The sequence below is a fragment of the Homo sapiens genome, chromosome 16, assembly GCF_000001405.40.
Source record: "Homo sapiens chromosome 16, GRCh38.p14 Primary Assembly".
In the NCBI taxonomy this organism is placed as follows: domain Eukaryota; kingdom Metazoa; phylum Chordata; class Mammalia; order Primates; family Hominidae; genus Homo; species Homo sapiens.
The window spans coordinates 4,669,255-4,696,291 of NC_000016.10; the positions used below are offsets into that span (position 1 = coordinate 4,669,255).

Here is a 27,037-nt window from a genome sequence, read left to right on the forward strand (position 1 = left end):
GAGACCCCGTCTCTACTAAAAATAAAAAAATTAACCGGGTATAATAACACATGCCTGTAATCTCAGCAACTCAGGAGGATGAGGTAGGAGAATGGCTTGAACCCAGGAGGTGGAGGTTGCAGTGAGCCGAGATCATGCCACTGCACTCCAGCCTGGGTGACAGAGGAAGACTGTGTCAAAAAAAAAAAAAAAAAGCTGTGCAACAGCCTGTTGACTTCCCTGTAGAGCTCTAAGCTCTGGGACGACGGGTCCCTGTCTTGGGTGAGCATATATGTTTTGCGTGCCCGCCATGTACAGGGACGCCTGCAGGCCCTGAGTTCTGTCCAGTTTGAGCCATTGTGTCTGGAACATAGTGTTAAGTAAATATTTGCCGAATGGATGGATGGAAAAGGAAGGAAAGAGACCAGAAACAAAGTCTGCAACTCCTTCTCCTCTTCCTTACAAATTGTCCAATATGTCAGTATTGGACAGAGACTTAGCTTGACTTCATCAATACTTGAAAAGAAGGATTAAATAGTTGAGAATAAATGGAGCTATAGAGCAGTACATCTGTTCTCTGGGGTCAGCGATCCTGGGATGCTGCATTGGGAAGTGTTATTCCTGGTGGCCTCACAAGTAGGCACCGAGAATTTAGAGGATGGGGTGCCCTAAACAGCAGTGTTAGATCTTGCTAATGAGATGTCCTAGGCCACAGCTAACAGTTACTCCGTGTGTACTGTTGGGGCGCATAAGACCTGTTTCAAGCCACCACTTGGGAATGATTTTTGTTAGTTTTTAATTTTTTAAATATTTAATTTAATTTTAATTTTAATTTTATTTTATTGAGACAAGACAGAGTCTCGCTCTGTTGCCCAGGCTGGAATGCAGTGGCGCGATCTCAGCTCACTTCAACCTCTGTCTCCCAGGTTCAAGTGATTTCTCGTTCAGGCTCCCAAGTAGCTGGGACTGCAGGTGTGCGCCACCACAGTTGGTTAATTTGTTTTGTTTTATTTTGTTTTGTATTTTTGAGATGGAGTCTCACTCTGTCGCCGAGGCTGGAGTGCAGTGGCATGATCCCAGCTTACTGTAGCCTCCACCTCCTGGGTTCAAGTGATTCTTCTGCCTCAGCATCCCGAGTAGCTGGGACTACAGGCACGCGCCACCATGCCTGGCTAATTTTTGTATTTTTTGTAGAGATGAGGTTTTGCCATGTTGGCCAAGCTGGTCTCAAACTTTTGGGCTCAAGTGATCCACCAGCCTCGGCCTCCTACTAAAGTGCTGGGATGATAGGTGTAAGCCACTGCACCCGGCCATCTGTTAGCTTTTTAGAAGAGAGTTTGTCCAGGTGCAGTGGCTTATGCCTATGATCCCAGCACTATGGGAGGTGGAGGCAGGAGGATTGCTTGAGCCTGGGGATTCCAGACCAGCCTGGGCAATGTAGCGAGATCCTGTCTATTTAAAATGTAAATCACAATAAACAAAAGAGAGGTGCAGCAAACTCTAGCAGGTCCAGGTCCCTGCAGGTACCAGGGGAACAGGAGACCCCAGTGATGGTCAGGGCCTTGTGTTGAGAGAGCTGACCAGCAGGCCCTGGGCTCCCTGGAGTGGTGCTCCTGGCCCATGGTCTCTGGGAAACCCAGCAGCACAAACCGCTTTGCAATGTGGTCAGCGTGAGGCTTTTTGGTTGCAAGTGGGTGGCAGGACAGAATCAGCTTGGAGACATTGCTTTGGCGTCTTTGAAACCAGAGAGGCTTCATGCCTTTTGGAAGGAGGATCTGGAAAGCAGTGGGAACTTAGGCTGCTGTCTGGTGCCTTCAGGCGTCAGCTCCTGCTTTCCTCGTGGGGCTGGTGGTGGTGGAGCCAAGTGGTGTTGGGGGTGGTGAGGCGGTCAGGGGGTGGTGGTTGGGCCTGTGGGTTGGCTTCAGGCCCCCAGTAGTGGGGAGAGCCACCGGCTCCAGCCCTGTTCCAGGTGCTGCTGGTTGGGTGGGGGCAAGCAGCAGGTTTTCCCTGCCCTTCTCCTGGCCCCCAGGGGTTGAGCTGGACTGACCCCTGGTATGGAAGCCTGGTAAGTTGGAGGCAGGGCTAGGCCAGGTGGGTATGGAGGAGCCCTCATATGGCAGTTGGCGAGGGCCCAGTGAGCCCCTCTCTGCTCTCCAGGTGGACCGGGTCAGCTACCTCCTGCAGGAGATCTATGGCATTGAGAACAAGAACAACCAGGAGACCAAGGTGTGTATCTGGGTGAGGTTTCCCTCTGCCATTACAGAAGCCCACACCAGGAGCAGCCGCGGACAGCAATGCTTGCCGGTTCCCTTCCATGCCTTCCCCTGGAGTCCTAGACCCGCTAGACAACATCATTTTTCCTTAATTTTTTTTAAAGCTAACAGTTTAGGGAACATTTTATCCTTTCTCCAGCAAATTCACTAGCTTCTGATGTAAATTGCCATCCAGGTTCCCCAGGGCAGCCCAGGAATGGGGGCCAGTGTCTCACCCTCTAGGCTCAGGTGTGTGGCACCCTGCTGCCCGGCTCCTGCCCGCCTCCCCAGAGACAGCACGTCCCTGCAGCTCCTGGGGGAGGGATGCTTATTCTGTATGTCCATAGAACCAGTCCTGGTGCCTGACAAATAAGCCGTGGTGTACCCCAGTCAGGGAATGTAGCAGGGGATGAAATTAGTTTTTTTTGTTTTTGTTTTTTGAGTCAGTCTCACTCTGCTGCTCAGGCTGTAATGCAGCAGGGAGATCTTGGCTCACTGTGGCCTCCGCCTCCCGGGTTCAAGCGATTCTCCTGCCTCAGCCTCCTGAGTAGCTGGGACCACAGGCACGCGCCACCACACCCGGCTAATTTTTTGTATTTTAGTAGCGACGGGGTTTCACCATGTTGGCCAGGATGGTCTTGATCTCCTGACCTTGTGATCCACCCTCCTCGGCCTCCCAAAGTGCTGGGATTACAGGCGTGAACCACCGCGCCCAGCCTAATTTTTAATTTTTGTATTTTTAGTAGAGATGGGGTTTCACTATGTTGGCCAGGCTGGTCTCAAACTTCTGATCTCAAGTGATCTGCCTGCCTCAGCCTCCCAAAGTGCTGGGATTTCAGGCCTGAGACCACCACGCCTGGTCGATGAACTTGTTAAAAGGCACACTGACATGAGTGAAACTCCTGCCTCTTAAGATCTCTTGGAAAGTCTCACAGGCCCGCTTCATTATGGCATCTGGGCCCAGGACAACTGGAGCAGCTCCACGTGGCGGGAGCGGAGCACCTGGCCGGGCCTCGCCTCAACCCAGGGAAGTCAGTGCATTCATGTTTCATACCAGGGGGCGGCCCACTTTGAGAAAAGGTTCAGAGAGGGAATGTTTTCAGCCGCCCGGGCATATGGTCTCTGTTGCACTGACTCCACGCTGCCATTACAACAGGAGCAGCGGGGACTGTATAAAAATGAGTGGGTGTGGCGGTGTTCCAGTAAGATTTTATTTATAGAAACAGGCCACAGGCCTAGTTTGTGGACACCTGTTTTAGATTTTTGGCTTTCTTTTTGTCCAGTTGCTAATGTGGTTTCTGGTAGCTGCCATTAATGAAAATACTTCTAACATATTAACTTGTTTTTTGTTTTTTTTGTTTGTTTGTTTTGAGATGGAGTCTTGCTCTGTTGCCCAGGCTGGAGTGCAGTGGCAGCCATCTTGGCCCACTGCAAGCTCCGCCTCCTGGGTTCACGCCATTCTCCTGCCTCAGCCTCCTGAGTAGCTGGAACTACAAGCACGTGCCACCATGCCCGGCTAATTTTTTGTATTTTTAGTAGAGACGGGGTTTCACTATGTTAGCCAGGATGGTCTCGATCTCCTGACCTCGTGATCTGCCCGCCTCAGCCTCCCAAAGTGCTGGGATTACAGGCGTGAGCCACCGCGCCTGACCATTAACTTGGTTTTTTTTAAACCAAAGATAACGGGTACCCTGACCCTCAGGAAGATGTGTTTCTTAGGTGCATCTGTTCCTCATTTTTTCTTTAGGTCTGAAGAACAGAAAGAGACCATGTTCTCATGATTTGGGTGGGTGAGGGGCACAGACCCTCCCCCTCTGCCAGGTGCTGAGTTTGCACTGGATTTGAGCCTGGTGATTCTGCTCTGGGGCAACCTCCCCCTCCCCTCTGGACTTCTCTTTGTCATGACAGCCCCCAGGGTAGGGTGGAGTGGGGTGGGACAGCTGGGGACAGGAAGCAGGAGCCGTACTCTGGCCTTTGGGAGGCTGCTGACCCACAAGCCCTTGTCCCGGCAGCCCTCGGACGACGAGAACAGCGACAACAGCAACGAGTGTGTGGTGTGCCTGTCCGACCTGCGGGACACGCTGATCCTGCCCTGCCGCCACCTGTGCCTCTGTACCTCCTGCGCCGACACGCTGCGCTACCAGGCCAACAACTGCCCCATCTGCCGGCTGCGTGAGTTCCCCGGCCGGCTGTTCTGTGGAAGGTTCTGGAAATTAGGGACTGGCCACACCACGGTGGTCCTGGGATAGGGGGCCACAGGTCCGTTGATGGCTAAGAAAGAAGAGTTGTCATTCATCTAGTCTGTGCTGAACGTGGGCGTGTTGGCTGTCGGAGTCAGTCACCGTGAGAGAGCTGGCAGGGACGCTAGCACGGGGCATTCAGATCTTCACGTCTGCCTCCAGCCAGGCAAGGCTTGCAGAACAAAGGGCTACAGAGGCGCTCCAGGGCAGATGAACTGAACGAAAATTGATGAGTGAATGAAATCTTTATTCTTATTTTATTTTTATTATTTTTTGTTTGAGACAGTTTCGTGCTGTCGCCCAGGCTGGAGTTCAGTAGCGAGTTCTCAGCTTACTGTAACCTCTGCCTCCTGAGTTCAAGCAATTCTCCTGTCTCAGCCTCCCTAGTAGCTGGGATTGCAGGCAACTGCCACCATGGCCAGCTAATATTTTACTTTTATTAGAGATGGGGTTTTGCCATGTTGGCCAGGCTGGTCTTGAACTCCTGGCCTCAAGTAATCTGCCTGCCTCAGCCTCTCAAAGTGCTGGTGTTACAGGCATGAGCCACCATGCCTGGCTATTTTATTTTATTTTATTTTTTTGAGATAGAGTCTCGCTCTGTCACCCAGGCTGGAGTGCAGTGTTGCAGTCTCGGCTCACTGCAAACTCCGCCTCCCGGGTTTAAGTGATTCTCCTGCCTCAGCCTCCTGAGTAGATGGGATTACAGCCCTGCACCACCATGCCTGGCTAATTTTTGTGTTTTAAGTGGAGATGGGGTTTCACCATGTTGGTCAGGCTGGTCTGGAACTCCTGACCTCGTGATCTGCCCTCCTGGGCCTCCCAAAGTGCTGGAATTACAAGCGTGAGCCACCGCTTTTTTTTTTTTCTTTTCTTTTCTTTTTTTTTCTTTTCTTTTCTTTTCTTTTTTTTTTTTTTTTTTTTTTTTTGAGACGGAGTCTCGCTCTGTCGCCCAGGCTGGACTGCGGACTGCAGTGGCGCAATCTCGGCTCACTGCAAGCTCCGCTTCCCGGGTTCACGCCATTCTCCTGCCTCAGCCTCCCGAGTAGCTGGGATTACAGGCGCCCGCCACCGCGCCCGGCTAATTTTTTGTATTTTTAGTAGAGACGGGGTTTCACCTTGTTAGCCAGGATGGTCTCGATCTCCTGACCTCATGATCCACCCGCCTCGGCCTCCCAAAGTGCTGGGATTACAGGCGTGAGCCACCGCGCCTGGCCGAGCCACCGCTTTTTAATTAATTACTTACTTTTATTTATTTATTTATTTTGAGACAGAGTCTTAACTCTGTTGCCTAGGCTGGAGTACAGTGGCAGGATCTTGGCTCACTGTAACCTCTGCCTCCCAGGTTCAAATGATTCTTGTGACTCAGCCTCCTGAGTTGCTGGGATTACAGGCATGTGCCACCATGCCCGGCTATTTTGTGTATTTTTAGTAGAGATGGGGTTTTACATTGTTGCCCAGTCTGGTCTGAAGCTCCTGACCTCAAGTGATCTGCCTGCCTTGGCCTCCCAAAGTGCTGGGATTACAGGCAGAGCCACAGGGCCCTGCCTTGTTTTTAAAATTTTTTTTGTAGAGACAGGGTCTTGCTATGTTGCCCAGCCTGGTCTCGAACTCTTGGGGTTAAGTGGTCCTCGTGCCTCCTAAAGTGTTGGGATTATGGGCATGAGCCACCATGGCCAGCTCAGATCTTTATTTTAAAGGTAAAATAGAAAATATTTCAATAAATTTTTAGCATAACGCTGGTTGCAGATCACACCTATAATCCCAGCACTTTGGGAGGTCAAGGCAGGAGGATCGCTTGAGCCCAAGAGTTCGAGACTAGCCTGGGCAACATGGCGAAACCCCATCTGTACAAAAAGTTAAAAGTTAGCCAGATGTGTTGGCTATAGTACCAGTGACTTGGAAGGCTGAGGCGGGAGGATCGGCTGAGCCTGGGAGGTTGAGGGTGCAGTGAGCTGTGATTGTGCCACCACTGCACCCCCGCCTGAGAGACAGGGGAAGACCCTGTTTCAAAAAAAAAAAAAAAAATTATAGCGAAGTGAAAACAAAGTATGCTGGGTAGAAAATTGACCAAGGAATTAAATTGGGTTTTCTAGAGCATTCCAGACATTTCCTCAGTGAAAAGCCGCTCGTAGGGCCCCGTTCTGAGTGTCTTCCAGTAGAGGGAACAACCTGAATGTTCTCAGGGTGAAAAAACGACCAGGTCAAAGTGCACATCCCACTGGTAGGCCCTTGCCCTGGATCCTGGGATCCCTGGCCTGGGTCCTGGCGGTGGGGCCGGAGCATAGTTGGGGATTTGCCTGCGCAGCTGCAGGACACATGCGCTTAGTAGGCCAGCAGACCTCCAAGCCGGGCGTGGGGCTGTGCGAGGATGCTGGTCTGTGCAGTCAGGCCATGGGGTCACTGGATGTGTCCAGATCCCAGGAGTAAGTGAAGAGGCTGCTGGGGCCTGGAGGGAGAGGCCGGCCGCCCAGCCTGTGGCAGATCCTGTAGCAGGGAGGGCCGGCCCAGGCTGTCTGTCGGCCTCTCCTGTCTGAAAGCCACAGAGTTGCGGGGGCAGGGACCAGGAAGTGGGGGCAGGGGTGGGCTGTCTAGGAAGGTTCTCTGTGCCTGCCCAGGAGGCAGGCAGTGTTGAGGACTGAGCCTCAGGGTGGCTGTGTGGCTGGAGATACAGCAGGGCTGCTTTCCAGGGAGGGTGCCCTGAACCGAGTCCAATTCTGGAATCTTCAGGTGTGTGGGGTCAGTGGGTCGGGGCCATCAGACTGGAGTTCAGAGCTCCCGTGTGGCTTTGAGCCTCAAGGACGTGGCGGTAGAGGGGCCCCTCACAGGCGCCCGAGGGCAGAGACTGCTGTTCTCAGTAGAAATTGACACAGAGGAGGCCTGAGGCCCTGTCCCTGGGCTGACGGCAGATGCATTGGTTTGTTGGAGGTGGCTGGTTTGGTGGTTTGGTGGTTCGGTTTCCTGGCCTGCACACGTCACTAAAGGTGTCTCAGGAACATTCTACAGCAGCCTGTGGGGCCCTTGTGTGAGCAGGACTGGCACTGTGGGATGACAGGGCATCCTAGGTCCTGGTTTATCTTCTCTGCTCCCAGTGGCTGCTGTCTGTGCCCCTCAGCTTCCCCAGCGTGATGTTTTTGCCTCAGTTTCCCCAGCGTGACTCCCCACTTCAGCTTCCTCAGCATGATGTCCTTGTCTCAGTTTCCACAGCATGACATCCCCACCTCAGCTTCCCCAGTGTGATGTCCCCGCCTGCCATCCTGTCCTGCAGCCAAGAGCTCCTCTGGGCTCAGCCAGGACTGCTGATTTGCAGTCACGTCCTGTCTCGGGTGCAGCCTGGAGCTTCAGGGGTGTGACGCTTTGGGGGTCATGGCCACCAGCCTCTTGGAAACACCCTCTGGAGCCCCGCCTTGGGCAGCACTGCATGGCCTTGCTGTGTTTCCTGCCCGGGGCCATTTCATTAATACTGTGTTTGCGGGAGTTCTGTCTCTCGTCTTTGGAGCGCCCCCTCCCTCTATTTCTGTACAGGGGAGCTGCTTCTTTCTTTCTTCCCCCATCTTTCCTGCCTATTAAATTCCTGCTCCTTAAAACTAAAAGAAAAAAAAAAGACCGTTGTGATCTGGAAGCGGGGTCACCCCAGGACCCCTATGGTGTGGGGGGGGTGTTGATCCCTGGGGCTGGGAGGGTCCCCTCGGGGCTGGGTGTGTCGCCTGGGCCTGATCTGAGCCCTCCTTCTGCCGCAGCTTTCCGGGCCCTCCTGCAGATCCGGGCGGTGCGGAAGAAGCCAGGAGCCCTGTCCCCCGTGTCCTTCAGCCCCGTCCTGGCCCAGAGCCTGGAGCATGATGAGCACTCTGTAAGTGCCGCCTCCTGCCTGCGGGATGGGCGGGAGAGGGGCATGAGTGCCTGGGCCAGGCGCAAGGCCCAGACGGTCCAGCCAGCAGCCCCGTGTTCTCTTCTGTCCAGTGGGCAGGCATGGCCCCCATGGATGGCTGTGAGGCATGAAGGGGGTGGCCAGGCTGGGCCCTGGGGTGCCGCTGCTGGGAACAGCGCTGCTGCCATCAGTACCAGAGCCTGCGACAAGGCTGAGCGCGGTCGAGGTCTCGGTGGAGCCAGGTGCTTTTTTTTTTTTTTTTTTCTTTTTGAGGCAGGGTCTCGGTCTGTCACCGAGGCTGGTGTGCACCCAAAGTGGTGCAATGTCAGCTCACTGCAGCCTCGACCTCCCGCCTCAAGCAATTCCCCCATTTCAGCCTCCCAAGACGCTGTGACCACGGGCGTGTACCACCACGCCGAGCTAATGTTTTGTATTTTTAGTAAGGTGGGGTTTCCCATGTTGCCCAGGCTGGTCTCGAACTCTTGGGCTCAAGTGCTAGTCCTGCCTCAGCCTCCCACAGTGCTGGGATTACAGGCCTGAGCCACCGCCTCCACCCCGTGGTTCTTAGTGAATGAGCCATGCTGTTTCCCCCATGCGCTGCTGTGCAAGGGGCACTGGTGACCCTCCTCCCACGCTCCAGGCCCACCAGGCGCCCTCAGTGGGGACCTTAAGGGCAGGCCCTGCTTCAGCAACACAAGGGAGGTGGAACCCTGGCTTCAAGGACCCAAAGACAGACAGAGACATGGAGAGAGATGCACAGAGAAACACAGAGACAGGGCGAGAGAGAGGTGGAGAGACACAGGGAGAGGCAGAGACAAATGTGGAGAGACACAGAGACAGGATGAGAGAGATGTGGAGAGACAAAGGGAGAGACAGAGAAAGATGTGGAGAGACATAGGGAGAGACTGATGGAGAGATAGGAAGAGACAGACAGATGTGGAGAGACGGAGAGACAGATGTGGAGAGACAGGGTGAGAGAGATGTGGAGAGACACAGGGAGAGACAGAGATGGGGATGGGTGGCAGGGGCTGTGGTGGGCAGGGAGCAGAATGGGGGAGTTGGACAGTGACTGGTTGGGCCCGGGTCTTAGGCCCCCTGCTCCCCACTGGCCACGCGCATTGTCAGATTGAGTGCCTTTCTTGGCTCTTAGCTGTGGCTGTTATGAGCCGTTGGTTCTTCCAGGCTCTGCTGCCTCTCTAAACAGAAAAGAGGAGCAGAGCCCTGAGGACTGGCGTTCACAGACAGCGCCTTTGCTCTAGAAGGCTCCTCCCAAGCCCCCTTGATCAGGGCCTTGACCTGGGCCCTATGGGCCTCCCTGGCAGCAGGTGCAATGTTTCTGAAATGGGGTCAATGTTTAAAAGTCTGGAATTTCCCTTAAAACCCAGATTTTGGGTTTGTCTTTTAAAATCTGACATGGTCTTGATGCTAGAGGAGAAACATGGCTTGGGGGTCCCTGTCAACCCAGGCCCTCTAGGCCCCTACCATCGTGGGGCTCCTGGCACCACGCTCTCCAGCACTTTTGATGTTGGCTTTGATTCGGAAACGCTGCGTGTGCTCAGGTTTTTGGTGGAGAGAGAAGCAGCCCCTGAGGGATTTGCCTCTGAGAGGGTTTCACCTAGGGAGTGATCGATGCTCAGGCGTGGCTAGGTTTATTGTCCCTTGTTTTTGCCCCTCCCTGTTTGTGTTCTGGTGGCTGAGGATCCAGTAGGTCCCTCCATGTTTGTCCCTCTTATGCTGAGTGAGCTGGGCGGCCGGGGTCCGAGGTGTGACCAGGCAGCTCTGACCTCCACATGCCCCAGAAGGGCTGGCACCCAGCCAGGGAGCCGCCGTCCTCTCTGCATGGAGCAAAAGCAAACGCTCCTCCTCACCTGCCAGGTTCCTGTTGGAGCCCCTTCCACGTAGTGACAGAAAGAGCCACCGTGGGTGTTCTCTCCAGCGAGTGCCTAAAGATGATGGTGGGGTGGGTGGGTCTGGGGCTGACTCTTCTCCCCAGCCCTCTTGAGGGGTTCATGGTTGGTGATAAGTGAGCGGCGGTGCCTGGGCACCGGCTGGCTGGGGGACTTTGACCAGTGTGGCTTCAGGATCTCCACCCTGCACCCAGCCTGCATTAGGCAGCGTTCAGCTGCCCTCACGTCCACCTTGGCCAAATCTGTTGCCCCAGGTGACCCAGACTGCGGGGGGACAGGCAATGGGGATGAGATTGGGCTCCACAGCCTCCCCACTGCAGCAGCACAGCTCCCGGGAGCTGCCGAGACGCACACATGGCCCACCCAGACCCGAGTCAACCCTCACTTAGGACAGTCCCGAGATTCACGTCCCCCGGAAGCTTGTGAAGTTCTGCGCCACGGTGTGGCAAGAGGACAGCCAGTCAGACCTGTCCAGCCCACTCCAGGGCCGCGTGGGGGTGGTAGTTGTAAAACATATGATTTTTATCTTGACAGTGTCCCTTTAAAAAATCAAAGCCGCACCCCGCCTCCCTGGCCAGCAAGAAACCTAAAAGGGAAACAGTAAGTGTCTGGTCCTCCGGCTACGTTTTTTTGCCCCCGCCCTCATTTTTAAACCCACGACAAGTAGGGGAGATCGTTTCCGCCCCAGGCTAGTGTCTGATTCATATAACCCGTCAGCTCCACTTGCCCAGTCCCGGCCTCCCTGCCCAGGGAGTTTGTGGAACCGGAAAAGCTCTCGGTCCGTGGGCGAAACGCCAGGTGCGCTGGCCCCGCCGCCCTCCCCTCAGCTTTGCCTCCGCCCCGCGTGGCCCCCGTGCCGTTTCCCTTTTTTTTCTTGCTGGCAGTGGAATGGACGTTGCAGGCGGAACTAACGTCGCTGCTGCGTTTTGCAATCGCGCCCCGCGCATGCTTCTTGGCCCCGTGTCCCGCTCCTTTACCCTGCGGGTTCGAGCTCCTTGGGCTGAGCTTTTTGGTTTCCTTGGGCTTCCCTTGTGCCCCAGGGAGCAGGCAGGGGGACCAGCACACAACCACCTGGAGCCTCCGTGGCCCAGGCAGACCCAGCCGAAACCCTGTGTGCGTTGGTGTAGAAGGTGGAGGCCACTCCGGAGCCACCCGGACCGTGTTTTCCTTTCTAGAGGGGTGAGGGGATTCTGTGTGGTTATTTACCCTTAACTTGGAGGCAGGTATGGGAGCAAATGTGGGGTACACAGAGGTCCAGAAAAGCATCCCGGGCTCATTGCCCGGGCCGTGCCCGCTCCCCCATTTCTCCCCCACCTCCCCGTGGTCTCCAGGCATCCCGCACCCATCTCACTTTCCCCTTCCTTCCAGGAGCTCGGTCAGGCAGGCCGGGGTCTCCCGAAAGGAGCACTGACGAGCGTTGTGCCCCTCAACCTGGTTTTGTGGGGACAGAGCAGGGGCCCCCGCAGTCTGACTTCCGTTCCCCAGAACCTGGGCATTTTCCTTCTTCCTCAGCCTTGTTGATTCTGTCTGCTCCCAGTGAGGGAAGAACAGTGGCTCTTAGCCAGGGTGCCCGTTAGAACCACCTGGAGCAGGTCAGCCCCCAGAGGCCCGGGCAGGGCACAGCTCCCAACAGCTCAGCTCTCCCTGGTCCAGGACGCCCCTGACCGTGTCTCTCGCCTCTGGCATGGCTTTGCTCTGCCCCCGCTCCCAGCTCCTGTCTGTCACTAACCCTTCACTCTCCACCTGGGGCCAGGCGGGACTGAAAGCCAGGGAGGGGCTGGTTGAGGCCAGGGCTGGGGCGGTTCTTGGCAGATGCCCTCGTGCCCGTCATCCCAGGCACCAGCGTGGGCATTTGGGCATCCAGCCCCGTGCTGGAGCTGATGGCTGAGGCAGGGAGGGCATCGGTGCTGCCAGGGAGCTCTTGGCCACCCTCTGAGGGTGGGGGAGTCTCAATCCCCCAAAGAACAGAGTGGACAGGAGGTCATCAGGAGGAGCGTCTGGGGAGCAGGTGGTCCCTGGGCATGAGCCCCCTCACGCACCCTGTCCCTACAGAACTCTGACAGCGTCCCACCTGGCTACGAGCCCATCTCGCTGCTCGAGGCGCTCAACGGCCTCCGGGCTGTCTCCCCGGCCATCCCCTCGGCCCCTCTTTATGAAGAAATCACCTATTCAGGCATCTCGGACGGCCTGTCCCAGGCCAGCTGTCCCCTCGCGGCTATCGACCACATCCTGGACAGCAGCCGCCAGAAGGGCAGGCCGCAGAGCAAGGCCCCCGACAGGTGAGCAGCAGCCAGGCCAGGTGCATGGCAGGGTGTGTGGTGGCGCGCGTGCGGAGCGGGTGTCTTTGTGGTTTCAAATCAGTTTGTGATGTGTTCTGTGTGGCGATTCCCCAGAAGGACTCGGAGACCCCGTATCAGGTTAGACTCATGGGTAAAGTTTATTACGGCAAAGAACGCAGCAGACGAGGCAGGAAGAGCGTCCGGGCAGCTGGAGGCTTTGATCCCCCGACCAGGGCCACACCGGCGTGCAGGCGCATACGTGCTCTCGAGCAGGAAACTGCAGGGGTCGGTGCTGTGTCTCTGCTGAGGGGAGCCCCTTTGAGCCTCTGGGTTCCCAGACTTCATTGGGGGGCTGGCCACGTAGGCCCACTCTGCCGGTGACCAGCCAGGGCAGCCGAAACTCAGGACCTGACAGTGACCCAGGCACACTCACTGCTCTTGCCGTTCGCCCGTGACGAGCCACGGGGCACGGTCCCTCTCCAGGCGATGAGTGCATCATCCATCACTCATACGACAGCCTTCGGAGGGCCTGGCTCCTGGGGTTGGCCACGGGTCATTCGTGGTTCCCCTGGAGCCTTGCGGTGTATAGAGCGGCGGCTGCCAGGGGGACTCTGTGCCTCAGGCCTGTCGGTTCTCGTAGAAGAGTGTCAGGAAGGCGCGGGTTCTGCAGGCCCGCCCTGGGCACCCTCCATGCCCACGAGGAGGCAGCGCCAAAGCTCAGAGAAACGGGGGCCTCTGTCTCCTGCTGCTTCTCCTCCCCAGGAACCACCAGCGGTTTCTCTTCTCCTTCTAGAAAGAAAAGGAAGGCTAGGCCCGTGCCAGTGTGTCGGGAGCCCCTCTGTCGGGCGGGTCTGTGGTGGCCGCTGTTGCCTGTTGGCCGTTTGGGTTGGTCCCGGTGGCTGGTGATGCCCTTCTCCAGGGAGTGTCCTTGCGTGGGTCCTGGCAGGCGTGTGCAGGGGCCCCCAGGTGCCCTGCATGGCTTTGGCAGGGTTAGCCTTCCTTGTCGTTATCCTCTCACCCCTGCCCACCCTCTCCTCTGTCCCCAGCACCCTACGGTCCCCGTCTTCCCCCATCCACGAAGAGGATGAGGAGAAGCTCTCCGAGGACGTGGACGCCCCTCCCCCACTGGGTGGCGCAGAGCTGGCCCTGCGGGAAAGCAGCTCCCCTGAGGTGAGGCCCCCCCGGGGAAGCTTTGCGCACCCGCCCGGGCCAGCCCTCCTCCAGCTTCTGTCGCTGGAATCAGACCCCATCCCACTGCCCGCCTGGGCGCCCCCGTGCTTGTTGGCTCTTGCTGAGCTGCGCGGCTCCTTAGCCTCGGTCTGTGGAGGCAGCACCCCCTGGTGGAGCGGCTGTGCGGTCCCGGGAGGGCCGTGCCTGATGGCGGCTTGTCCTGGAGCGGTGGCCGCGGCTCTCTGAGCTCTAGGCTACTTTCCCCTTTGTTTCCTAGAGTTTCATAACAGAAGAGGTTGATGAGTCGTCGTCACCACAGCAAGGTGAGCGCCTCCTTCCATGGGCACAAACCGCATGCAGGGACCAGGCAGCCCTGGCTTACTGGGGCCTTAGGGCTCCAGGTGGTGTTGGGCCAGCACCTCTTCTGCCCCAGGAACCCTCGGCCAAGAGGCCCCCCTCGGCGGCACTGGGATCCCGGCTGGGAGGGACTGAACGGGTGACTGGGTCAGGCTGCGCTGTTGACCCTGCAGGGCTGTCTGCCTGGGATGGGGAACACCTGCCAGCATTCAGTCCTGGTTTTGAAACATGAGCGTGTAATGTTTCTATGACCAAAAAAAAAAAAGCCCTATGCTCTGAACATCCAGGACACAGTGTAAAAAAGGGGAAAAAAAAGCCCCATGCTGGGGGATGGGAAGGAGGGAAATAGAAGGGAAACACCCAGCTTTGGGGTCCCTGGAGAGCAGGTGGGGTCACGGTGGAGTCCTGCTGGAGCACAAGCCTGGGGTCCCCACAGTGGCTACAGAGCCCTTGGGTAAGAGAGACGGCCTCCTGCCCAGAGGGACCTGCCGGGACCTGGCCCCTGCCTGTAGGTCCCTAACCTCACCCTCTGCCTGCAGGGACCCGAGCAGCTTCCATTGAGAATGTCCTGCAGGACAGCAGCCCCGAGCACTGTGGCCGAGGCCCACCTGCTGACATCTACCTGCCAGGTAAGGGGCTGGGGGTCTGGGGGTGAGGGGCTGGGTGCCTGTCTTAGTCCCCAGGGAGGGGGCCCTGCTCTGATGGTCGGTGCATAGCAGCAGAGGCTGTCCATTGGAGCCTGGTTCTCTCCCTGGCTCTCAGCCATGCCCCTGCTATTGACCGTGAAGCAGGATGCGGGCCAGGGCCATGGCCACAAAGCAGCCTCAGGCAGGGCCTGGCTCTTGGGAGCGGAACCTGCACCAAAGCCCCTTCCCTCCCTGGGGCCACATTGGCCACAGGAGGTGAGAGACGCGAGAGAGGCTGCCTGTGAGAGGATGGGGTCCTTTTCCCTCTGCCTGCTGCTCACGCCAGGAGGGCAGATCCGGCCCCACTGGGATCACCACATGTTCCCCCACTCCTGGTCCTATCGTGGGCCCACAGGCCCCATGCTGGGTGCCACGTGCGCTCCTGGCAGTGCCTGAGAGCTGCAGACAGAGCAGGAGCAGGTACCACACGCTGTGCTGGGTAGCGGGGGCCCTGGGCCACAGAGCGCAGGGGCAGTGTCTTCTGGGTCACCCTGCCCCGGGCCTGACAGAGGCCACCTGATGCAGCAGCACATCCCAGGCCAGGCACAGAGGACGGCGGGGGCGCCAGGCGCCAGCGGGGAACAGCAAGGCAGCAAGGCTGGGACAGAGGGTTGCTCTTCTCACCTTTCCCGGAGGCTCGGGCCCCAGACCCCATCAGCCAAGCACCTTCGTGCTCTGCTCTGCTGGGATAAGATCCTCAGTTTCGAATCCTAAGCTCTAAAGACCGGGAGGGAATGGGGGCTCTCAGACTAGTGTCTCAGCACCTGCCACGAGGCTGTCTGCGGCTCTGGAACTGCGATAAACAGCCACGGTGCTTTCAGACATGACCCCAGAGCCACTGCTTAGGGAGTGTGGCTCTTCCCTCGCGGCTGCCAGGCTTCACCCGCTTCCTGGCCCCAGGGCCCACCATTGCTCAATCCTCCTGAGTCACCTGGTGACCTGGGCCTGACATTGGGTGGTTGTGACGTGCTTTAGTTGGAAAGGGGCTCTTGTGCCCCCGGACTCTGGCTGAGCAGTGGCCTGTGCTCATGGGCTGGGCGTGACAGGTCGCAGGTGCAGGAGCAGGCACTGCCTCTGGTGCCCTGATGACCACAGCGGCCTGCCCCGAACAACTCACAGCAGAAGGTGTGTTTAGGACCAGCTTACCTTAAAGTGACACAGAATTCGAGTAAGGTCTTTCAGAGGATCTCAAATATTTCATTCTGATTAAAAACTTGGGGGGTGATCGGGGAAGAGGCCAGAAGGACCTCAGCTTCTGGGAGCCACGAACATGATATCTGATCCTGCAGGGTGGCCCTGTGGGGGAGCATCTCAGAGGCTGCGCCTCCCCTCTGTGGCCAGGCCTGGGAAGGATTGGGACAGCTACAGAGGAGGCCCACACAGAGGAGGCCAGGACTCCGAGTCTCATGCCCCACCCACAGGGGAGGGTCTCGGGCCTTCTTCAGGCCCACAGACGGGGGCAGGCAGTCGTCATCTGTGGAGGCGGTAGAGGAGAGGCCGAGTCTACATCGGGGCAGCCTGAGGTGAACTCCTGGGCCCTGGGCCCCGCTCTTGGAGTTGGCTGCTGCTGAATGCCAGCAGGTCAGCCTGCACGGCCTCAGTTCTGAGCCACGGAGAGCACATGTGCCTTTGGGGGCTGTTTGGCGCCATCTCCGTGGCTGTCAGCCTTGTCAGCACAGGTTTCTGTGTGTTTTTAAATCCATGTGGTGGCCCCTCTGTTCCACTGACTTTTTCACATCACAGAGCCCTTGACTGTCTATCCGTGTCTGTGCGTAAGGCATGAACACACGCCAGAGCCTTTGGTTTCTCATAGGGGTGCAGCCGCTGCCTGGCGGGGTGGGCGGCATCACTGAACCCTGCTGTCCCTGTAGATGGGAGGGCCCATGAGATGGTGAACACTGGGGGCCCTGGTGTCTTGGACTTGGCCCTGAGCTCGGTCCTGTCTAGCCTCAGCCCCCCACCCAGGGCCTTCACTCCTGAAACCAGAGGTGGACTGCGCCCGTTAGGTCCTTCATGCGCCCTTCCCTAGGCTGCGGCAGCGGGAGGTATGGGAGGGAGGGGCAGGGCCAGTGCGCTCCTCCGCGTTGAATTCTGGCTGCGCTCTGCCTCCCAGCTGTGGTTCTCCTTGTGGTTCTCTGTGGTTGCAGCAGAGTGTTTGTTTCTAGACGGCCTCGACCGTGTCCCCAAGCTGGTGCCCTTGCTGTGGCTGTGCTGGCTGCTGCGCGCTTGCTAACCGAGCTTCCGTCTGTCTCTCCCCCTCTCCGCGCAGCCCTGGGGCCCGACTCCTGCTCTGTTGGTATAGACGAGTAAGCCGGTACGTGACCTCCCAGACGCGCTTCGGGGGCTCTGACGCGCGTCCTTGGAGAGAGGAGCCCTCCCCTGCTCTCTGGCGGGGGTTCCTTCTGGTTTTTGGGTCTTCGTCCGCATCCGCATCTTCCCAGGGGCCCTGGATTCCGAATCCAGAGCTCTCCAGTGGCTGCTGCACCTTCCCCCAGAAAGTGGCCTCCTGGGGGGTCCTGACTTTCGGGGCCAGAGGTCTCTCCATCTGGACTAGGCGGCCGGTCAGGCTCTTCTTCCAGCCTTGAGGGGCCCTGGAACAGTCCCAGCCCAGGCAGGGAGACAGACACAGCCCAGGTGCGCCAGAGCCACTGTCCACTGCGGGAGGCAGGAGCTTGAGGGATGAGGGCAGCACCGTGGAGGGAACCCCAGGGAGACATGGGGTGAGCGTCCCAAGGGGAGAGGCCTGGGCCTGGCCTTGTTCCGGATGGTCCCACCATGAGTTCGCATCGGTCCTGCAGCAGACACGTTAGGACGCTCAGCAGGTCCACTCCCGTGTTCCGGTCGTGGCTTTAACAATTCATGGGGAAAGAATGCGCCCCGATTGGGAGAGCCCCTGGATCACGTCTTCCCAAGCTCAGTCCCTGTCTCTTGGAGGGAGTCCGTCCTCGAGGGGCCCTCTGGTGCCCAGGGGAGAGTATCTTGCGTCCTGTCCTGAGGGCGTCCGCTCACACAGCCACCTGCTCCCCCGCTCCCTCCTTCCCTTGTCAGCATGGCCACCGTGGGCCTGGCATCACCATGGGCCTGGCACACAGTCCCTCGTGGGCTGCCTTTGTGCCATGAGCCCACTGCTGCCGACTCACCTGTCCCTCCCAGTACTGGAACCTTCTGGAACACCAGCACTAAAAGATAGGAGGCCCTGTGAGGTTGGCATCCCCCATCCCCCCCAAGAGGCGCCCTCTACCAGGGTGGCCCAGGTGAGTGTTTTACAGAAGGCGGCTCTGTCCAGGCAGTGGTTCGCACCTATAAGCCCGGTACTTTGGGAGACCGAGGGGATAGATCACTTGAGCCCAGGAATTCAAGATCAGTGTAGAAAACATAGACCCCCTCTCTATGAAAAATAAAAAATTGGCTTGGGCGTGGTAGCTTGTGCCTGTGGTCCCAGCTACTCAGGGGTGCTGAGGTGGGAGGATTGCCGGAGCTGGGGAGGTCAAGGCCCACTCCAGCCTGAGACGCTGTCTCAATAAAAAAAAATACACACACACCCACCCACCCACTCCAGCCTGAGACCCTGTCTCAAGAAAAAAAAAATACACACACACACACACACACACACACACACGGGGGAGAGAGAGAAGGCAGCTCCAGGAGTGCCACCAAAATGTAGGCAGACGGATTGGGGACCCTCTGCCTTCCCAGAGGGTCTTGGCACACAAGCTGCGTGCAGCTCTGGTCTGCCGAGGCCCATGCAGCCTGCTGGGAGGTGCCTGGCCGGGGGTGCAGGCTCTAAGAGGCCCTTTCCCCTTGGGTGGACTTGAGCCGGGTCAGGGAGAACTTCGCTTCTTTTGACTGCGCTCTGCATTCCCATGAACCTCTGTCTTCTTGAGCCCAGCGAGTCCCTCTGTTGACCCCTGTCCTGAGCCATTATACCCCTAGATTGAAACAGTCAGCACCTTTCAGACGGCCCCGGCCTGCGCATCGGTGGAAGGTGCCGTGCGAATGTCACGATTCAGGTCAAGCTTCCGGAGCTGGGGAGTGCAGGTGTGATCTAGAACAGGGCTCACAGCCTCGGAAACCTGCTCTCGCCGCGGCCCCCGAAGAAAATAGACGCCCTTCACCGGAGAGTGGGGCCTGGGCCGTGTCTGCTGGGAGCCATGTGTCAGGGCTGGTGGCTGGGTGTCAGGCAGCCCTGAGGCCATGCTGGCCCCGTCCCAGGCTCTGCACCAGCACCATTGCCCAAGCCCCAGGGACGCCAGACCCATCTGGGGACAGCGCCCGGCGGCGTCGTGCAGGCCACAGTCTGGGCATTGGGGCTCTGTGGGAGGCTCCTCTCTTTGCCTTGCAGTAGCCATCCGGGGGCTACTCTGAGCACGGGCTTGTTCTCACCCAGGGCCGCTCCCCACCCCTGCACCCTGGGTTGACCGAGTTCCACCCTAACCCAGCCGTAAGAACCTTGGCAGGACAGTGGCTGGCCACATCCCAGGAAACCGGAACCAGGGCAAGGGCAGGAGGCCCAGAGGGCATCCACCGCGGTGCCGTGTCGCGCTCTGACTCGGGGCTGCAGATCTGCTGTGGGTGTCCGGGGATCTGGGATCGTCTGTCCCAAGAGGGACACAGCGTATTTGGCACAGTTAGGGAGTCCCCGGGCCCTTGGTGTGCTCACATCTGAGTGAATGCTGTTGTGGCCACAGGCGGCGGGAGTGGGGGTGCTGGATGGCCCAGCCCCTCTGGGGCTCCAGATCGGTAGGAGCGGGTGGCGTGGCACCAGGCATCCGAGTGTGACCCTCCTCCCTCTGCTCCCACCTGCAGGACGGCCCACCTCCATGGAGACGGCCCACGGCCTCGCCACCACCAGCCCCACCTGGCCTCCACTTGGTGGCCCCAGCCCCGATCCCAGCGCCGCCGAGCTGACCCCACTCTGAGAGCCTGGCCGAGCTGGCAGCATGGAGCCCTCGGCTCCCCAGACTTTGCCGAGGGGCTGCTCCGGACCCCGTTGTGAGCCGGCCTCCTGTCTGCATGCCCCCTGTGGCCACCAGGCTCCGAGGGGCCGTGGTGACTCTTGATCAAAGAGCACAGTGAACTGTCCCTTCTGAGTCTCCCTTTTCTACAGTTGATATATTTGTAACTGGTACAAGATGAAGGACAGCAGCTTTCCATCCCTAGTTCAGAGCCCCCGTTCCCCAGGGTCCTGTGGGCTGAGCGGCTGGGGCTGGGGCTGCCCACGTGTGGCCTCCGCTGGCTCTGCCTGCTCCTGCAACAGTGCGGTCCCTGCCCGGAGAACTCAGGAGGCCTGCAGAAGAGAACTGATTGGTGGTCGAAGCACCATCTTCACAGATGTTCAGGGGCAGTGGGGGGCTCCAGGCACGGTCAATGAAGGAAACAGTGCCTGTCCACCCACCCTGCGTGTCACTGTGGCGGCCTGGCTGTCGCTGCTTTTTGTCCTCTGCCGTGTTTGCGCGGCCTCAGTGCCCTCCCTGGTGCGTCTGCGCTGGGGCCCTCAGTGCTCGGGGCCTTGGGGTGCATGGGTGCCGCCCTGGGCAGCTAGAGTGTCTCAGCCCGGTGCTGGGCCTGGCCGAGGGGCGGAGGCACAGCTGCTTCCAGCAGCCAGCATTCAGTGGCCTTGTCACCAAGCTCCACACCTCCTCCTGGTGCTGGCTTTGGTGACATCACAAGGCCCCTCCAGGTGCAGGGGCTTCTGTTTGGCAGGCCCCTGCCAGGGAGGACCTGGTGGCCTCCTCATTCTCTTTTGCCATTGGAATGTCCCCTTGCAGTTCTCTTCTCTTTTTTTTTTTTTTTGAGATGGAGTTTCACTCTTGCTGCCCAGGCTGGAGTGCAGTGGCTCAATCTCGGGTCACTGCAACCTCCGCCTCCCGGGTTCAAGTGATCGTCCTGCCTTAGGCTCCTGAGTAGCTGGGGATTACAGGTGCCTACCAGCATGCTCGGCTAATTTTTTTGTATTTTTAGTAGAGAAGGGATTTCACCATGTTGGCCGGGCTGGTCTCAAACTCCTAAGGTCATCCACCTGCCTCGGCCTCCCAGAGTGCTGAGATTACAGGCGTGAGCCTCCGCGCCCGGCCCCCTTGCAGTTCTCTCTGATTTGGTTTGTTCTGTCTCAGGCTTCTGTGGCAGGACTGGCCCAGGGAGGAGGAAGCCAGCAGCACACCTGGGGAATGGGGTCCCGGCCGGGAGGCTTGGCCTCTGGGCGACCTCGTCCTGTTTTTTTTGTTTGTTTGTTTGTTTTTTTAAAGGTAAACCTCCTGGGCCGCAGATGGCAAAGGGAGTGCCTGGGCCTGGTGACCCAGGGCTGGATCCACCCCTGCGGAGCCCTGGGCCAGGCAGGTGTCTGCTGCTCACCTGGCTCTGGAGGGCTGCCCTGCAGCTGGGCCTGGGGACAGGTCGGCTGTGGGGCAGCTCAGTACCCTCCCTGAGGCTCACGGTGGCTCCGAGCATGAGGTCCGCCTCCTGGGCGAGACCCAGCAGTGGACAGCATGGTCCTCACACCCAGCTCCCTGCACACCCAGGCCAGCCACCCCTCCCGCTCGTGCACAGGCACGCAGATGCGCTCACACGTACACACACACAAATGCACGCCCACTTGCACATGCTCACGCACATGTTCACACATGCACACTCACGCTCACACATGCTGTCACGCATACACACACGCACATACTCCTGCACATGTTCCCATGCATGTGTGTGCACTCGGACCGAGCATCTCCCACGCACCTCTACCCCACCCCAAGCACCTCTCTCCCCCCATGCACCTCTCCCCAACAACACACACAGCCCCCTGCACCGCCCGCCCCCCGCCCCCACCAAGGCCCCAGCCTCTGGCCATCAGTCCTGGTGCCAGAGCTTTGCGTGAAGTTCGGGCCGCAGAGTGGCCCGCTGGGACTCCCATGTGCTGCCGTCTGATGTGCTCAGATGGGCTCATCGTTGGTTCGTTTTTACTGTATATTTATAGTAATAAAATCATGCAGCAATATCCTGTCTGCTCCTTCCTCCGGGTGCAGCCCTCAGGATTGTGGCTGTTTCCTGACCCGGAGTTTTGCCGCTGGGTGGTTGGCGGTGGCTCCCGCACCGTGGCAGCTCCACGGCCTCTGCCTGGCTTCCCTCTGGGGTCAGGGCAGTGAGCAAGGTGAGGGCTAACGAGAACGGGCAGCTCCCAGCCATCCCTGTCAGGGCTAGTTGTCTGGTTGGAGGGAAGCCACACCCTCCAGATTGGGCTCTCTCGTGAACAGGTGGTTGGGGAGCCCAGGGCCTCCAGGTTTGTGAGTAGTCGCTCCGGTCCCCATCTCTAGTCCTGATCATCTCAAGGCATTTGCTGAGCACCTGCTGTGCGTCAGTGGAGGCAGAAGAGCTGAGGCCCCGGCCCTGGCCCCGGGCGCCTGCCTTCCAGGCAGTGAGATGCCCAGCAGCTAATCAGAATCCTGCCAGGTTTGGTTACTATTAGGAAGAAAGTCAGCATGGTGGTGAGATGAACCCGTACAAGGTCTCATTTAACCGGGTGGCAGGGAGGGCCTCTCTGAGGAGACTTAAACAGCCCTGAGGGCTGAGGAGGAGCTGGCCCTGGAAGAGTGTTCCAGGTGGCAGGAGTGAGCCTGATGTGTCCCCTGGGGACGGAGCCCCTGGCTGGAGTGAAGGGTGCTGGATAGATACTGAAGAGCTTGTAGGGGCTGCTGGAGTGTTTTTATAAGGGGGAGTCAGTTTTAAAAACAGGCTTCCAAGCGGAGAAGCAGTGCTAGCACCCTGCGGCTGGCGTGTGGAGGCCGGACGGTGGGAGCAGGTCTAGCTGCCCATGGTTGTGGGCTCGCAGGCTGGAGCCCGGCCCCAGGCCTCTGCACAGCCCCCGCTCCCCTGCCCAGGGAGTGGCCAGTGCCCCAGGGCACCCACCACACCACTGCCTACCACTCAGGGCCCCAGCTCCTTTGCGTGCAGGTCAAGCTGCCACCATGGCCCTTCTTTGAAGACTGTGAGGGTGGAGGGAAAGCCCGTGTTCTAGCCCATCAGTCCCTGCCCCGAGAAGGCTGCCACCCATGGGCCCTGCAGCTGCTCTGACCTGCCTGGGTCTGGCCCCATCCCAGTGTGGGTAGAGGGGTGCCCAGGGTGTCAGACGGGTGCTTGCATGGGCCAGATGGGCTCCCCCTCTGTACCTCCCAGAAGAGCCAGCGCTTGTATTGATGTCTGGTCTCGGGGAGGGGCTGCAGCAAGGGGAGCCTCTCCTCCTCTGCCCCTGCGTCCCACGGGCCCTGGGCGCTGGCTGGGCTTGGCTGCCTAGGGGTGGGGCCCTCTTTGGGTGAGAGGACCCTTCCCCTCGCTGCCCTCTCGCCTTCTCACATGGTCGCTCACTCTGGAATCTGGACTTCCCCTGCTGCTTGCAGCTGTCCCATGTGACCCCTGACCCACTGGTGGCCACAGGAGGAGAGAGAGGTGCCCTCTCTGGGTCCTTATTCTCCACATCTGAGGCCACCACGGACCTAACAGGTGAGTTTCCAATGCCCACCCTCTCCCTCTCTCTTCTCCTGCCTGCCTCCACTGAAGGCAGCCTTCTCTGTGCCAGCGAGCTCGGCCTCACTGCACGGCTCTCCCGAGGCTGTGCCCCAGCCCTGGGCACCCATGCTGTGAGTGCAGGCAGGGGGGTTCATGTGCTCAGCAAATCCATTCCCCTGGTGGGGAGGAAAGTGGCCCTGGGCCCTGCTGCTGGTGAGGTGAGCCTTGCCATCATGGAGTTCAGGGCACCTCGCTCTGCCTTGGGCTGTTTCGGATGCTTCTGAGCCCCAGAGACATCTCCAGTACAAACACAAGGTAAGTGGTAAGTACCTCAGGCCCTTGTGGAATCGGGATTCTGCCTCTGTCATCAACTGCCAGTTGTACTTAGGCAAGTTATGTCCCTCTCTGAGCTCCAAGTTCCTCATCGTAAATTGGGGAAACCCCTCTTCCCCCCACAGTACCTGGCACAGGGTGCCCGGCTTGGAGGATGCTGGAAAGGTCCAGCCCCGGAATTTAAGTCACTTTCTGCCCAGCAAGCTGGGTCCACAGAGCCCCAGAGCTCCCGGTCGTCCGCCCTGACCCAGCGTGGACTCGGGGACTGGGGCACTCAAGCCCTGCCAAGCCCTGCTCCCCGTGCTGTCCTGGATCGAGCCTGCCAGCAGGGTGGCTAGGTCGGGACAGCTGTCGTGCATGGCAGGCGAAGGCCATCTCCCTCCGGGCTTGGGTCCGGTGGCGCTGGCGGAGCAAGGCTCCGGGGCATCTCTGGCTCGTGTGGTCGTGCCAAGGGTGCCATTGCGGATGGACGGGGCCATGCGGGCCGGGTCGGCCTCCTGGGGAGAAACGGGTGGGCGCAAGGGGATCGGCGCCATCGAGGGTGGAGAAACCGCAGGGAATTTCGGCTGTCCGCTTTGGGGCGCCAAGGAAGATGTTCGTCGCCCACAATGTCAACCTTGAGCCACCACGGCACCGACCAGTCGTCTAGGCTCTCCCGTCGGAGGCGGGGCCGCCGCCCAGGGTGTGCGACTATTGGGTGACGGCTGACGCGCACCGCCCTCCTTTGCACACCGCCCGCAGCACCTCTCGACGACGCACCGCGGCGCTGCGAGGGGCTCGGTCCCGGGGCGCGCCGGCGATTGGCGGGGGAACCGGACCCGGGGGCGCGGCCGCCCGCGGATTGGCGAGGCACGGCGGGGGCGGGCTCGCGCATGCTCTTAAGTGGCAGCGGCGGGGACGGGGTCAGTGCCAAGATGTCGACGGCGGCGGTTCCGGAGCTGAAGCAGATCAGCCGGGTGGAGGCGATGCGCCTAGGGCCGGGCTGGAGCCACTCGTGCCACGCCATGCTGTACGCCGCCAACCCTGGGCAGCTCTTCGGCCGCATCCCCATGCGCTTCTCGGTGCTGGTGAGGACGGGCGAGGGCGCGGGCGAGGGTGCCGGCGCGGGCGGGCCCGGGCGGGGGCGTCCGTCGACCCCGCGGCTGTGACCCGCGCTCCCTTGCAGATGCAGATGCGTTTCGACGGGCTGCTGGGCTTCCCCGGGGGCTTCGTGGACCGGCGCTTCTGGTCGCTGGAGGACGGCCTGAACCGGGTGCTGGGCCTGGGCCTGGGCTGCCTGCGCCTCACCGAGGCCGACTACCTGAGCTCGCACCTGACCGAGGGCCCACACCGCGTCGTGGCGCACCTGTACGCGCGGCAGCTGACGCTGGAGCAGCTGCACGCCGTGGAGATCAGCGCGGTGCACTCGCGCGACCACGGCCTGGAGGTGGGGCCGCCGCCCGGGCCCCGCCCCCCGCCCCGGGGTTTGGCTCTGGCCCCGTGGAAGGCACCGATGGGTAACACGTCTCCTGAGGGTCCCCTGGCCGGGCTGGGTCGGGTGTCGCTGTCTCCAGCAATGGGGTGGGGAGAGGGGTCTGGGGCTGGGAGGCCGGGAAAGGAGGGGCGGGGGTGGGGGCCGGCGCTGGGGCTCCCTCAGGGCTGTGTTACATCCGCCTTGCTGCCTGCCATTGCCAATCCTGGGAGTGGGGGAGTGGGATCGGTGGGGAGGAAGGGATGGGGGAGGAGCGGGGATTGCTTGGGGAGTTGGGAAACTTGAGCACAGCGGGGGTTGTAAAACTTGGGAACCTCATGTTGGGCGTGAAGGCTCTTGGGATTTGTACTTTGTGGTCTGGAAGGGCTGGACTGCGGGTGTTCAGGCTTCGTTGGGTGGACGGGGGGAGCATGGGGTGCGGACCCCGGGGTGGGGTGGCCTGGGTACGAGGGGGGGGAGTGCATGGGGTCAGCCTCCACACTTGCTTGGGGAGGAGGGGGCTGCACTGCTCCGAGGGAGCTGGCTGGCTTCTGCCAGGCCCTGCGTGGGTCTCCCATTAAGTCCTTGGCAAAGCTGGCTGCTCATACCCTGGCCTCATAGCTTCCAGGCCCCTCCTGCTGGAGGTGCCATTGTGTGGCAGGCCTGGCCCCAACCCCTACCTCCTGTCTGCGCAGGTGCTGGGCCTCGTGCGGGTCCCGCTGTACACCCAGAAGGACCGAGTCGGAGGCTTCCCCAACTTCCTGAGCAACGCCTTCGTGAGCACGGCTAAGTGCCAGCTCCTCTTTGCCCTCAAGGTGCTCAACATGATGCCCGAGGAGAAGCTGGTTGAGGCCCTGGCTGCAGCCACCGAGAAGCAGAAGAAGGCCCTGGAGAAGTTGCTCCCGGCCTCCTCTTGAGGGCTGCCTGAGCTGGTGGCACCCTCCCCTGGGCCGGAAGACTGGGAATTCCTGCTAAGTGTGGCTTCTAGAGTGTTTGTGTGTACCCCGCTTCTGACTGCCTAGGGCGAGTGGGCATCCTGTCATCATCTCCACTGTCCCAAGCAGTCACTAGGTGGCGGCCGGGCCAGCTGGAACCCAGCCCATCCTCTCAGGCAGAGCAGGGTGGTCCGGGCACACTGGGCCTGCCTCTCCAGCCTCAGGATGCTCTTGTTTATTCTGGGCTCAGACCCTCCTCTTGTACGTCTCATCACAGCTGGTAGAGACCCAGGAGTGCCTGATTGTCCCACAGGGGTGGCGCACAGCTCTGGGACCACTCAGAAGATGGGATGTGTGGGTGGAGGATGCCTTGTCTCGGTCAGCTCATTCCTGCCTCCTTCCTGAGCCAGTTCAGGGCCTGGGGGAGAGCCAGCTTGGGGTAGGAAGTTAATAATACTGTTAATTTGGGTTGTTGTTGGATTTACTTTGCTAGATTTTCTCTTTCACCACGTGTGAACTGTGGGTGAGGTTTCAAAGTAGCTTCACCCCACGTGGCTTGGTTCCCAGGGACAGTCAGGGCCTCGGGGGCCCAGCTATGTACAACGAAGCTGTCGAAGGAGAAGACAATAAAGTCGCTCCGCAGCTGCTCTGTGTGTTTCTCAGCTGCCCTGTGTGTTTGTTTTGGTTCTGGATGGAACCAGCTCAGGCCCCCTGCCCTAGGTGGGGGAGGGAGGAGCTGCCCCAGCCAGGGGCACGTTTGTTCCCCAGTGTTTACTGGGGGCACTCCCAGCATGAATGCTGTGCCCATCAGCCAGGTTGGGGCGTCTGGGCCGAGACCTTCAGGGCAGGCTCCCCTTCCTGATCCTGGTGGCCCTGGCTGCACCTGGGCTGACCTGCTTTGCTTTGCAAACCCACCATTCCCCACTGTCTGCAAGCAGCTCCAGGGGATGGTGTAGAAGTGCAGGCTTACTGTGCAGAAGGACAGCAGCAGAGCCATCCCTCGTGGTCTCCTACAGCCCCACATCTGGAAAGACTCCAGCGGCATCGTCAGAAAATTTGCACAGCCCATGCCTGGCCCGGTGAGGGAGGCAGTG

At 59.5% G+C, this 27,037-nt stretch overlaps 2 protein-coding genes and 1 non-coding gene across 13 annotated transcripts in view, besides 12 other annotated features; all 3 read left to right on the forward strand.

Annotated features, from left to right (window-relative positions):
- MGRN1 (mahogunin ring finger 1) overlaps positions 1–21,718 on the forward strand; it is a 66,147-nt gene extending 44,429 nt beyond the window's left edge. The window contains exons 9-17 of one of the 5 annotated variants that reach the window (NM_001142290.3): positions 2,137–2,205; positions 4,244–4,403; positions 8,209–8,318; positions 10,778–10,843; positions 12,296–12,522; positions 13,569–13,692; positions 13,970–14,015; positions 14,589–14,678; positions 17,005–21,718. In NM_001142290.3, coding sequence (NP_001135762.1) covers positions 2,137–2,205; positions 4,244–4,403; positions 8,209–8,318; positions 10,778–10,843; positions 12,296–12,522; positions 13,569–13,692; positions 13,970–14,015; positions 14,589–14,678; positions 17,005–17,045 — 933 coding nt within the window. In that variant the 3' untranslated portion in view covers positions 17,046–21,718. The remainder of the gene's footprint in view (positions 1–2,136; positions 2,206–4,243; positions 4,404–8,208; positions 8,319–10,777; positions 10,844–12,295; positions 12,523–13,568; positions 13,693–13,969; positions 14,016–14,588; positions 14,679–17,004) is intronic. The other 4 variants (NM_015246.4, NM_001142291.3, NM_001142289.3 and 1 more) reach the window with 4 other exon arrangements.
- Positions 2,064–2,136, forward strand: MIR6769A (microRNA 6769a). Its single transcript, NR_106827.1, has one exon. It is a non-coding gene; the product is annotated as a microRNA 6769a (primary transcript).
- Positions 3,814–4,403: an enhancer, noted in NCBI's record as "H3K4me1 hESC enhancer chr16:4723069-4723658 (GRCh37/hg19 assembly coordinates)". NCBI's record gives its function as "activates a minimal SCP1, AML or CMV promoter by ChIP-STARR-seq in naive H9 embryonic stem cells {active_cell/tissue: H9 hESC(naive)}" and the evidence as "EXISTENCE:reporter gene assay evidence [ECO:0000049][PMID:30033119]".
- Positions 4,404–4,991: an enhancer, noted in NCBI's record as "H3K4me1 hESC enhancer chr16:4723659-4724246 (GRCh37/hg19 assembly coordinates)". NCBI's record gives its function as "activates a minimal SCP1, AML or CMV promoter by ChIP-STARR-seq in naive H9 embryonic stem cells {active_cell/tissue: H9 hESC(naive)}" and the evidence as "EXISTENCE:reporter gene assay evidence [ECO:0000049][PMID:30033119]".
- Positions 6,987–7,609: an enhancer, noted in NCBI's record as "H3K4me1 hESC enhancer chr16:4726242-4726864 (GRCh37/hg19 assembly coordinates)". NCBI's record gives its function as "activates a minimal SCP1, AML or CMV promoter by ChIP-STARR-seq in primed H9 embryonic stem cells {active_cell/tissue: H9 hESC(primed)}" and the evidence as "EXISTENCE:reporter gene assay evidence [ECO:0000049][PMID:30033119]".
- Positions 13,526–14,026: an enhancer, noted in NCBI's record as "H3K4me1 hESC enhancer chr16:4732781-4733281 (GRCh37/hg19 assembly coordinates)". NCBI's record gives its function as "activates a minimal SCP1, AML or CMV promoter by ChIP-STARR-seq in naive H9 embryonic stem cells {active_cell/tissue: H9 hESC(naive)}" and the evidence as "EXISTENCE:reporter gene assay evidence [ECO:0000049][PMID:30033119]".
- Positions 21,132–21,496: a silencer, noted in NCBI's record as "fragment chr16:4740387-4740751 (GRCh37/hg19 assembly coordinates)". NCBI's record gives its function as "represses an EF-1alpha promoter that drives an FKBP-Casp9 reporter gene in an ReSE screen in phorbol 12-myristate 13-acetate-treated (for megakaryocytic differentiation) K562 erythroleukemia cells {active_cell/tissue: K562(+PMA)}" and the evidence as "EXISTENCE:reporter gene assay evidence [ECO:0000049][PMID:32094911]".
- Positions 23,879–23,968: an enhancer, noted in NCBI's record as "active region_10343". NCBI's record gives its function as "activates an Ori minimal core promoter by ATAC-STARR-seq in GM12878 lymphoblastoid cells {active_cell/tissue: GM12878}" and the evidence as "EXISTENCE:reporter gene assay evidence [ECO:0000049][PMID:35858748]".
- Positions 24,159–24,518: a silencer, noted in NCBI's record as "silent region_7161". NCBI's record gives its function as "represses an Ori minimal core promoter by ATAC-STARR-seq in GM12878 lymphoblastoid cells {active_cell/tissue: GM12878}" and the evidence as "EXISTENCE:reporter gene assay evidence [ECO:0000049][PMID:35858748]".
- Positions 24,159–25,235: a biological region, named in NCBI's record as "hESC enhancers GRCh37_chr16:4743475-4743982 and GRCh37_chr16:4743983-4744490".
- Positions 24,220–24,727: an enhancer, noted in NCBI's record as "H3K27ac-H3K4me1 hESC enhancer chr16:4743475-4743982 (GRCh37/hg19 assembly coordinates)". NCBI's record gives its function as "activates a minimal SCP1, AML or CMV promoter by ChIP-STARR-seq in naive H9 embryonic stem cells {active_cell/tissue: H9 hESC(naive)}" and the evidence as "EXISTENCE:reporter gene assay evidence [ECO:0000049][PMID:30033119]".
- NUDT16L1 (nudix hydrolase 16 like 1) lies at positions 24,308–26,605 on the forward strand. 7 transcript variants are annotated; one of them, NM_032349.4, is made up of 3 exons: positions 24,308–24,625; positions 24,724–24,984; positions 25,704–26,590. In NM_032349.4, the coding sequence occupies exons 1-3, from the start codon at positions 24,473–24,475 to the stop codon at positions 25,923–25,925; spliced, it is 636 nt and encodes a 211-aa protein (NP_115725.1). In that variant the 5' UTR covers positions 24,308–24,472; the 3' UTR covers positions 25,926–26,590. The 7 variants fall into 7 exon arrangements, with proteins under 7 accessions (NP_115725.1, XP_005255690.1, NP_001180381.1 ...); NM_001193452.1 differs by having other exon boundaries at positions 24,439–24,625; positions 24,724–25,054; positions 25,704–26,605; NM_001370587.1 differs by having other exon boundaries at positions 24,464–24,625; positions 25,824–26,590.
- Positions 24,629–25,128: a silencer, noted in NCBI's record as "silent region_7162". NCBI's record gives its function as "represses an Ori minimal core promoter by ATAC-STARR-seq in GM12878 lymphoblastoid cells {active_cell/tissue: GM12878}" and the evidence as "EXISTENCE:reporter gene assay evidence [ECO:0000049][PMID:35858748]".
- Positions 24,728–25,235: an enhancer, noted in NCBI's record as "H3K27ac hESC enhancer chr16:4743983-4744490 (GRCh37/hg19 assembly coordinates)". NCBI's record gives its function as "activates a minimal SCP1, AML or CMV promoter by ChIP-STARR-seq in naive H9 embryonic stem cells {active_cell/tissue: H9 hESC(naive)}" and the evidence as "EXISTENCE:reporter gene assay evidence [ECO:0000049][PMID:30033119]".
- Positions 25,838–26,338: an enhancer, noted in NCBI's record as "H3K4me1 hESC enhancer chr16:4745093-4745593 (GRCh37/hg19 assembly coordinates)". NCBI's record gives its function as "activates a minimal SCP1, AML or CMV promoter by ChIP-STARR-seq in naive and primed H9 embryonic stem cells {active_cell/tissue: H9 hESC(naive and primed)}" and the evidence as "EXISTENCE:reporter gene assay evidence [ECO:0000049][PMID:30033119]".
- Positions 26,606–27,037: the final 432 nt, after the last annotated feature.